Source organism: Homo sapiens, chromosome 6 (assembly GCF_000001405.40).
Source record: "Homo sapiens chromosome 6, GRCh38.p14 Primary Assembly".
Lineage (NCBI taxonomy): Eukaryota > Metazoa > Chordata > Mammalia > Primates > Hominidae > Homo > Homo sapiens.
Window position 1 is genome coordinate 150,081,093 of NC_000006.12, and position 11,458 is coordinate 150,092,550.

An 11,458-nucleotide genomic window follows, 5' to 3' on the forward strand; every position below is an offset into this window, starting at 1 on the left:
AAAATAAATAACAAAAATAAAAGCTTTTATCTTTTGCTGTGAATTCTTTTTTTTTTTTTTTTCTGAGACGGAGTCTCGCTCTGTCACCCAGGCTGGAGTGCAGTGGCGGGATCCCGGCTCACTGCAAGCTCCGCCTCCCGGGTTCACACCATTCTCCTGCCTCAGCCTCCCGAGTAGCTGGGACTACAGGTGTCCGCCACCGCACCGGCTAATTTTTTTGTATTTTTAGTAGAGGTGGGGTTTCACCGTGTTAGCCAGGATGGTCTCGATCTCCCGACCTCGTGATCCGCCTGCCTCGGCCTTCCAAATTACAGGCATGAGCCACCGCGCCGGGCCATGAATTCTTAAATAATGAAAAGTGCCTGCAGACTTCTCCTACTCGGTGAATGAGAAAATGTCCATGTTGGCACCCCGTCAAGAGGATAGGTTTTCACAGTACTTAGGGGAGACAACCTCCAGAAATAAAATAACCTTGTGGCAGTTTACTCACAGTGACTTCAGTCCTCAGGGAAAATATGGGCTCAACAAACTGTACACTAGGACTATAATAAATATTGGAGATGGATAATAATTAAAATATAATTTCAGTTAGTTGAAATATTATTCCATCAAACCATTTTTAACTCCAATACAGATATACTTTTTGAAAAAAAAAATGGAAATACAGGCAACTTCATAGAAAAAAGGCCCTCATAAATGTTAAATTTAAATTTTTTTTTTTTTTTTTTTTTAGACAGGGTCTCTCTCTGTCACCCAGGCAATCTCAGCTCACTGCAAACTCTGCCTCCTGGGCTCATGCAATCCTCTTGCCTCAGCCCCCAACCCCCAACCCCCACCCCCTCGCGGCAGTAGCTGAAATTACAGGCATGTACCACCACACCCAGCTAATTTTTGTATTTTTAGTAGAGATAGCATTTCACCATGTTGGCCAGGCTGGTCTTGAACTTCTGGCCTCAAGCGATTTGTTCACCTCGGCCTCCCTAGAAAACATTTAAATTATCTCTTGATAGCTGTTTGTGTGAGAGGTGTTTATACTGTCGTGTGCTGTTTTTTCTGTTAACATAATTTCAAGAAAACAAATGAAGATTTTTATGCAAATAACCTTTTATAATACAATAAACTGCCCTTATGGAGGTTCAGAAATGATGAAAGTTAGGCAAATGAAGCCTCATAGATAACAAAAGGGTTCCCACTAACTCCTGCCCTCCATCTTAACCTCGGCACTGCGTGTTCAGAAAATCAGAAGGCTGGAAACTCTTACCAGTTCTAACTCAGTGGATGGATGAGGGATCCATCCATCCCACAGAGAGAACATATGAAAATTCCAAAATCTGAGCAGATACCTGCACAGTGCATTAGCTACCCTACAAAAGGAAGTGCTTAAATACAATTTTTAAAATGTTTTGGTTACTGGCTGGGCGCGGTGGCTCTCACGCCTGTAATCCCAGCACTTTGGGAGGCTGAGGCGGGTGGATCACGAGGTCAGGAGATTGAGACCATCCTGGCTAACACGGTGAAACCCCGTCTATATAAAAAAAAAAAAAAACACAAAAAATTAGCTGGGAGTGGTGGCGGGCACCCATATTCCCAGTTACTCGGGAGGCTGAGGCAGGAGAATGGCGTGAACCCGGGAGGCGGAGCTTGCGGTGAGTGGAGATCGCGCCACTGCACTCCAGCCTGGGCGATGGAGCGAGACTCCGTCTCAAAAAAAAAAAAAAAGTTTTGGTTACTAAGAGCTATCAAAAAGAAGTGTGGTTGCTTTTCACAAGAAGTTGACAATAAACTTTTTAGTGATTAGTAAATGATGGAGTGATTTTAAACATTGAAAAGCAATCCCTCATTGTTCCACATTATTGTGAAGATCCACGGTATGCTAGTTTGTTAAGCGGGAGCAGGTGTGTTTCTTTCCAGCGGACAACTCTGCCTGGCACCTGACTGAACCTCTTCCAGGGGTATCTTGGGTCCTGGGCCAAGCTGGCGTGGGTGCAAGGGGGAGGTCATTTATATGGAGCACATATAAATGCAAAAATCATTATTGAATTGATCTCTTCTCGGTACTCATTATCCAAACCTGAGTGTGACTCCCCAGCTTTTTATTTGAAGCTCAAGTGTACGCCTGCATGATGTGCGGGTGAGATTTAGGAGATGTGTAAGTCTCCACATCTCACACTGAGCCATGTACCCGTTAGGACTCAGATGAGTGACAAAAGTGCAAGAAACCACAGGGTCAGCTGGTGCATTGCTCCAGAGACTCATTTTGGTCAAAAATTTGTACAGGATAAGCGTATTCATATTTGTTTATATTAAAACAAATCCAACTGTACTACGGTGTAAAATGCAGAACTGGACTTGATTTTCTTTTTCAGTGAAAACAAGGAACATCAAAAAATTACTGCTTTGTAGAGGGCTGCTGTGGGCTGGGTTTTGGTCCTTAGGAGCAAAACATATACTCACTCCTGCTCTTCTGCCAGGAGGGGCAGTTCAGGAGAATCATCTGGAGACCGGATTCTCATTTATCAATTTCATTTCACATCCAAGGAAACTAAAGCACAAGGAGAAAACTGATGTGTGGATGTGATTTGGGCTTCATACACCTTCCTTCTTCCATTAAACTTTGGCTATGTCTTCCTACTTTCAACCTCAGCCTTGACCAAGTAGACAATTCAAAGGAAGCCTGGTCTAGTGGTCCAGGGAGGAGCACAGGAGGGTCCATGATTCTAGTTCCTGTTGTGCCACTAACCAACCATGTGACTCAAGCAAGGGATTGCATGTCCCAGTCCCTCGGTGACAGAGACATGTAAAAGTGGAGTGTGAAGGGCTGTGTGAAGTGGTGGAGCCTGAAACCTGGAGTCCAGCGATTGAAGGCACTTTGGTAAGGAACGGAGGTGGGCTGCCCAGGAGCAAGTCCAATCTCAAGCTAGCACACTTGCCCTCTGCCTTATCTGCATGGCCTGTGGTTGGTGACTCCAGCACTGGGCACAGTGATGAACACATCATAGGTGGTTAATGTGCCTCTGCTGAATGAATGAGGCATCATGGGAAACCCTGCAGAGGTGGTTGGCATTTGCAGTAGAACTCAAATCAGAGGGGTTTGCTGGGAGAAGGAGATGGATAACTTTGTAAAACAGATGTGCATGATTAGACTTATGTCCCTCCTTGCTAGCACAGAAAAATCCCTGATGTTTATCAGTAGTTCTAAAGGCAGGATGGAGCTCAGGCTGGTGGAGTGTGTTTTATTCTTTCACCTTCCCAAGTATTTGTGATCCTTCCTTTCAGCACACTTGGGAAAGCCAAGTGAGAATGGGGCTTGGTGAGCAGGGAGTCCCAGGTCTTGTGGGGATCACAGAACCTGCCTTCCTTTCTTCCTCCATCCTCCTGGGAAAGAGAGCTCCCCTTCTTCACCCCATGACACTGTGAAGAATTAAGCCCTAAGAGAAACCTGTGCCGTATCACCATTCCTTTGTTTAGTGTTTCTCACTTTACCTTTCTCTCCGTTTTCATTGCATCTGGTGACCGGAAATGCTGCTGGGAGGAGGGAGACTCCTGAGGGAGATTGGTGCCATAGCGTGGGGAGCACCAGACACCAGGGATAAAAGCGTCCACATATGCACTGTCTCACGGAGACACTAGACACTTCACTAGAAAGTGGAAGGCAGAGATTTAGACTCATGTTTCGTCTGGCTCCAAAGCCCATATTTATCTCACTGAGGTGGGTATAAACTGTTTATCTTGTTGGAATTAGGAAGAGAGTGGTAGAACTTTCAGGAACCTTCATTGTCAGCTAGATTTGTACTACGAGATTTTCCTGAATTTCCAGTGCAAAAGGCCCACAGCCAATTGGTCTGAGGAAGGAGGCTCTAGGGGAGCCGTTTGTCCCCCAGCAGCAGGAGGAATCCAAATGAAAATCTTGGCCACACCGCAGCTGAACTGGCTCTCAGTCACATGGAAGAGGTTCCATTTCAGGTGTGCTCTCTGGGTTTTCTTTTAGTGGACTTTGGGAGAGGAAAAGGGCTGGATTCCTACTACTGTCCTCACCTGAATGAAGGAGAAGCAGGAAAGAGGAGGGGCTCAGATTCCCGGGTCGTGAGTGCTTGGGGGGCCGCTTGAGTGACTCTATGGGCTTTGTGGGTTAGACTCCTGGGAAGACCTGGCTGGGCACCTAATTTCTATTTTTAGAATCCTTTCTGGTAGAAAGTAAGTTCCAGGTTCTAAACATGAAGTGCAAGGCCAGGTGTGGTGTCTCTCGCCTTTAATCCCAAGCATTCTGGGAGGCCAAGGTGGGTGGACTGCTTGAGCTCAGGAGTTCGAGACTAGCCTGGGCAACATGGTGAGATCCCATCTCTACCAAAAATACAAAAAATTAGCCAGGCATAGTGGTGTGCCCCTATGGTCCACCTACTTGGGAGGATGAGGTGGGAGGATTGCTTGAGCCTGGGAGGCAGATGTTGCAGTGAGCCAATATCATGCCACTGAACTCCTGCCTGGGCAACAGAGTGAGACTCAGTCTCAAAAAGTTAAAAATAGGCAGGGCGCGGTGGCTCACGCCTGTAATCCCAGCACTTTGGGAGGCCGAGGCGGGCAGATCACGAGGTCAGGAGATAGAGACCATCTTGGCTAACACGGTGAAACCCCATCTCTACTAAAAATACAAAAACAAAATTAGCCGGGCGTGGTGGCGGGCGCCTGTAGTCCCAGCTATTCGGGAGGCTGAGGCAGGAGAATGGTGTGAACCCGGGAGGTGGAGCTTGCAGTGAGCCGAGATCGCGCCACTGCACTCCAGCTCCACCAACAGAGCGAGACTCCGTCTCAAAAAAAAAAAAAAAGTTAAAAATAAATAAATAAAACAAAAATGATGTGCAAATGGACTTCTGAACACAACCTGTTTATAAGTTGAGGTTGTAATGATAAAAATGGTTTTAGGTTCAAGACACATTTTAAAATCTTGATGTTTGAAATACTTGTGAACAGGAACTTGCATTGGTAAGAACATGTAACAAATGGATATGTACGATGATGAAAAGCTAGTGGTATGACTAGGTTGACAGAAAAATGAATCAATGCATCTTCCTCACTCAGAAATAAATTAGACTAAAACCAGTCACCACCTGAAATGACTCCGTTCCTGCCAAATGCTTTGCGACCTGTCTCTTTTCATTAGGTAGGCTTTGTTGGTCCTGGTATGGAGGCTTTTATGTATTTCATCTTCCGTGGAGCAAATGGGGTGATAATAAATAAATGCTTGCTGTATACAGGTGGGGCAACGGAGGGACGCCAGTGTCAGAGTAGTGGGCGGGTTCTGCTCTCCCTTGCCCACTATTGCTGGGTGACCCTGGAACAGCCAGTTGACTGTTCCAGGTCAACTTTGCTCATCTGAATACGAAATTAGGGAATAGAACAAGCCTTCATCAATCTCCAAAAGTCTGTGATCCTGTATATAAAGCAAAGTTTTATCGCAGAGCCTCCTGAAAAAGGACTAATCAAATTATGATTCAATGAGTGATTTTTTTCATAGCTATATAGTTATTATCAGAGTAGGTTATTGCTTATTTTTGAAGTCTGTGTTTGGAAAAGATTAATACAGTTATAAATTGTGTTTCTCAAAAGTCCCTTGAGTGACAGGGGACATTAAGTTAACAATTGTAGATCCTTTGTTTTCTTTGCATTTCCTTTGTGATACGCAGCTAGCAAGTTATCTGATTTCCAGCACAGCGTCACAGACATTTCCATGCCTTTGACTTTAGAAAATGCAAGCGTGAGTGTTGCATCTTGGAATTATAAATATTCGTGGGTATATAAGTTCATACCCACACATAATGCAAAAGTTAGGACTTCTGAGAAAAATGGTGGCTGGAGTTATCTTCAAAGAATGGAAGCAATCATACCTTACTTTGCTGCAGTACTGCTTAGGATAACTATGTTTGTCTCTCCCTTGGCTTCACCAAGTCAAATTTAAGCTGCCCTTCATTTTTACCAAATTTTCTGGCTTTAGAAAGAAACCACCCATAGTGCTGACAGTGTTGAAAAAGCTGATTTTTATGTCTTTTTCCTCTGTAAACGTGGCTACTTCATTCCAGGCTGGGGAAGAGGGGAGGGCATGGGTTCGGTCTTTCTACAAGATGCTCCTCTGTTCATATGTGGTTGGTGAGAATGTGTAAGTGGTCATCTGGGATGAGCCGCAAGTCTTTCACAGAGTGTGAGCTGTATTAGCCAGCTCCCAATGAGGCTTTGCATGATAGAGCCACAGCAAAGGGAAAAGACATATAAAAAGGCTGATTTTTAAACCTACTGCATCAGAACATGTACTTTGAAAGCTATGTAGACAGAGTGAATATAGTTTTAGGGAGGCAGGATTCTGGGCACCCACTGCTGTTGTAGGAAGGACAGGCCCCTACAAGTAGGTGTGCTGGCGCCTGTGGCTGGGAAATCTGTATTGGCTCTGCCTTTGGGCTGAACTGAGCAGAGCAGGAGCCATATGGAAGGTCAGACACCCTCCACAGTCCTGTCCTTCCCTTGCACAGCTCTCCCTCTGCCCTCTCAAAGACAACCTTTGTTTGTGCAGCTCTTTCTATGGGAGGCACTTGTTGACTTTCAAGTTGCAGGTTGCTCAGGAAATATTATTTACTACATTTCTTAGGTGAGGAAAGAAACATTGGAAGGTGAATGCACAGGCCCAGGGTCACACTAGTTAGTAACAGAGGTTGCTTTTGAACCCAGATCGCTTGTCATCAAATGAAATGTTCTCTCTGGGGTCCCTATGACTTCTAAAAGAAATTCTCAGAATATTTCCTGCAACTGATTTGCTGTCTTTCCATCATTTCACTTGTAGCCCAGTGTTAATAAGATCTTTTATAACCAGGCCAGGCACGGTGGCTCACACTTGTAATCCCAGCACTTTGGGAGGCAGAGGCAGGCAGATCACTTGAGGTCAGGAGTTCGAGACCAGCCTGGTCAACGTGGCGAAACCCCATCTCTATTAAAAATAAAAAAATTGGCTGGGCACAGTGGCTCACGCCTGTAATACCAGCACTTTAGGAGGCCGAGGCGGGTGGATCACGAGGTCAGGAGATTGAGACCATCCTGGCTAACATGGTGAAACCCTGTCTCTACTAAAAATACAAAAATTAGCTGAGCATGGTGGCGGGCGCCTGTAGTCCCAGCTACTCAGGATGCTAAGGTGGAAGAATGGCGTGAACCCAGGAGGCAGAGCTTGCAGTGAGCTGAGATCGTGCCACTGCACTCCAGCCTGGGTGACAGAGCAAGACTCCGTCTCAAAAAAAAAAATATATATATATATATATAAAATAATAATAATAATAAAATTAGCTGGATGTGGTGGCATGTGCCTGTAATCAATCCCAGCTACTCAGGAGGCTGAGGCAGGAGAATCACTTGAACCCGGGAGGCAGAGGTTACAGTGAGCAGAGTTTGTACCACTTGCTCTCCAGCCTGAGTGACAGAGCGAGACTCCATCTCAAAGAAAAAAAAAAACAAAAAAACTCAAAAAACCAACCAACCAACCAAACAAACAAAGATCTTTTGTGACCAGCAATACAGAACCATTCAGGGACTCTATGAAAAGCTCACATCTTGTGGCCAGGGGACAGCAAGTGGCCACAGCAGCGAAGAGGGGGAAGTGTCAGGATGGGATGACCGTCACCAGTTCCTGCTTCTCAAAGGCTGGGCAGGAGCTGGACTATTTGCAAGGGTCTGGTAGACTGGAGGAGCTACAGCCATCAGTGGTGGAGGGAGGGGAAGGGGGAGAGGGAGGGGGTTACCACTCATGGGACACCTGCACCATGTGAAGCACAGCGCTCCCTTAAGCTCCACAGTGGGAGGGCGGAGCCTGCAGGGCAGATGTTCTCTCTCAGCCTCCAACAGGGAGGCAGCAGGTGATGGCCTGAGCATGAGCACTGGATGCTGTTCCCGGGACGCTGACTTGGAAAGGAGAGGCGGGGAGAATCCACGATGCTGCTCAGCAGGGAGTCGACTGCCCAGTGGGGCAAGGGTGGCATCCTTTAGGATGTTCCTGTGATCACCCTGGCTGGGCCCAGCCTCACCGGGCTTCTGCGGTTGGCCAGCGTGGATCTCCAGCCCTCCCGTCATCTTGATAAGCTCCCTTTCAATAGGCTGGTTTTTGGCTACAGATGGGTTCTACTGTTTGCAAATGAAAACCCAACCAATGCAGCCAGAAAGAGGCAGAGTCAGGATTCAAACGGGGCCTCTCCTGTGCTATAAGCCTGTTGTTTGCTCTTCTGCACCCCCAGAAGTGACCGGAATCTGAGTGACTGTCAAATCCTGTCCAGTTTAAGTTTTCATGGGAAATCGATTTACAAGCAGGTCTGTGATTAAATATGTATAGATGTTTAAACTGATTGCTGAGCTAGTTGTCATGAATGAAACTGGCTAATCTCTATGTTACTGGCATTTCCAGGGGAGGAGAGCAGAAGTCACACATACTGGGTTGTCAATGTGAGAGGCAATTGGTGGTGTCTTTGTTGTTTGTGTTGCTATAACAAAATACCACAGACTGAGTGATTTATAATCAATAGAAATTTATTTCTAACAGTTCTGGTGCCTGGGAAGTCCAAGTTCAAGGGTGTGGCATTCAGTGTCTGGTGAGGGTCTTTATGTGGCAGAAGGGGAGAATGCTGTGTCCCCATGGCGTGGAAGGTGGAAGGGCAGAAAAGGGTCTGAGCTAGTTCCCTTCAGCCCTTTTGCAAGGCACTAATCCACTCAGGAGGGTGGAGCCCTCACGACTTAATCACTCCCCAAAAGGTCTCACCTCTTAACCCCGCCACAATGGGAGTTCAGTTTCAATACATGAATTTGGGGGGACATTCAGACCATAGCAGGTAGGCTATGGAAGGGATGTATTGGTTAAAACATAGATTAGGAGTCAGACAGATTTGATTTCAATTCTATCATTTAATGTACTTCTGGGGGCTTGGACACGTTATTTATCTTGTTTGAGCCTCATCTGCAGAATAGAGATAATAATTTCTATTTCACAGGGATTCTGCACAGCACATGCAAAGTGCCCAGCACAGTGCCTGGCACACGGTGGGGGCTCAGTAAATGGAAGTTATTTCTTTTATTTAAGCACATGGCTGAATTCAGCTCTCACGGCAATGCTAATAGGTGGGTCCTTTCTTGACTGGCTGTGTCCCTTCTTACATAAGTTTAGGAGTCTTCCTTGTCAGCATACTCTCACCAACCTCTAAAAGGGGAATGAGATCAGGGAGAGGGAGCAGTGAGATGGGGAGGAAGCCAAGCAGATGTTTAGGAAGTTTTATATGACCCTAAAATGCCACCTGGATTGTCTGTTTTCAGGTCCATTACTGATCTGTTAGTCAACAGTTAATTGAACCTGTTTATTTTGCCTGCCAGAGTGCCCAAGAAAATCTAGATTATAAAGAGTCTATTATAAATTAAACACACTCAGCATTTATCATAAATGGTGGCACAATTCCTCTGAGTTGGGTCAGTCACATTGCCCCAGGCCCTGATGGAAGGTGCACAATCCACCCAAGCAAGGCTTACAGTTCCAAGCATCCACGCTGAGCTCCCCACCCAGGGATGCGGCTCTTCCCGGGTAGTGGAAGGAAGGCAGGTTGTGAGCAGCACTGGTCCAGGAGCAGCCCACCACTCCAATGAGCAGTGATGGCTTTGGAGGAAGCAGTCGAATCCTCCACTATAAAGTAGGTCAATCAACACTTCATTAATGAATATTTGATAATAAACCACATTGTATTCTATTACACAGGGCAGTGGATATGAAAGGTCTTTCTCAGTCTGCTTAGTGAAATACAGGTTTTAAGGGAATGTTCAGTTCCTTTCTCTCTTTCTTATATAAAATCTGTATCTCTTAAAAACTTTTCTTTGGGCCGGGCGCGGTGGCTCACGCCTGTAATCCCAGCACTTTGGGAGGCCAAGGTGGGCGGATCACAAGGTCAGGAGATCGAGACTATCCTGGCTAACACGGAGAAACCCCGTCTCTACTGAAAATACAAAAAATTAGCCGGGCTTCGTGGTGGGCGCCTGTAGTCCCAGCTACTTGGGAGGCTGAGGCAGGAGAATGGCGTGAACTCAGGAGGCGGAGCTTGCAGTGAGCCCAGCCTGGGCGACAGAACGAGACTTTGTCTAAAAAAACAAACAAACAAACAAACAAACAACAAAAAAAAACCTTTTCTTTGGAATTAGCCTGTATAATTCTCACAATGTTCTTGAGATGTGTGTTGTTTATTGTCTGCTTTACAGAGGTGGAAATCTGCAATTTGGAAAGGATTTTTGCAGGCTTGTGGTGTCTGGAAATGGTGGAGCAGGGGCTTAAACCCCAATATTTTGACACCAACCTTGTATTGATTTCTTCATTCCCCACGTGAGGACCACCTACCATGTGCCTACAGCTGGGCTGGGCACCGGGAACACCAATCTTAGCCATGGCCCCTGGTTAAGAAGAATTTCCTTTTTGCCATCCTGTCTGAGACGGCACCACTGTTTTCTGGCCCTAATTAATGAGCCATTCATAGCCTGAAGCTAGAGGATGAATAGCTATATTCAGGTTTCCCATTTATGGTAATTTTCTTTGGAAGCCGACCAGTTTTCAGCTCCACTTCAATCTGCCCATGTGCTTCATAGTGACACTGTTGAAAATGATGTGGAAGTGGAAACATATCTCACCAGGCCCCACAGAGAGGCACCACAGGAGTCCACGGCTCCCTGACTCCCTTCAGTCTGGGAAACAGAAGAGGAGAAGCTCCAGAGTTGATGTCTGCCCCATGGAGAGTGTCCTTGCTGTTGTTTTTATTTTTACAATTTTTAATATATATTAGAGATAGGGTCTTGCTCTGTTGCCCAGGCTGGAGTACAGTGGTGGGTGCAATCTTAGCTCACTGCAACCTGCAAGTCCTGGGCTCAAGCAATCCTCCTGCCTCAGCCTCCTGAGAACCGGCTAATTTTTTTTTTTTTTTTTTTGAGACAGAGTCTCACTTTGTCACCCAGGCTGGAGTGCAGTGGCGCAATCTTGGCTCACTGCAAGCTCCGCCTCCCGGGCTCACCCCATTCTCCCACCTCAACCTCCTGAGTAGCTGGGACTACAGGCGCCTGCCACCATGCCCAGCTAATTTTGTTTTTGTATTTTTAGTAGAGACGGGGTTTCACCATGTTAGCCAGAATGGTCTCGATCTCCTGACCTCATGATCCGCCTGCCTCGGCCTCCCAAAGTGCTGGGATTACAGACGTGAGCCACTGCGCCTGGCCCACATAACTTTTCTTACAGCATATTGTTATCATTGTTCTATTTTATTATTAGTTGTGGTTGCAAATCCCATACTGTGCATAGGTGTATGTGTACAATTTAGGAAAAAACACAGTACATATAGGGCCCAATATTATCTGCAGTCTCAGGCATCCACTGGGGGTCTTGGAGCATATCCCCCACAGATAAGGGGGCTACTGT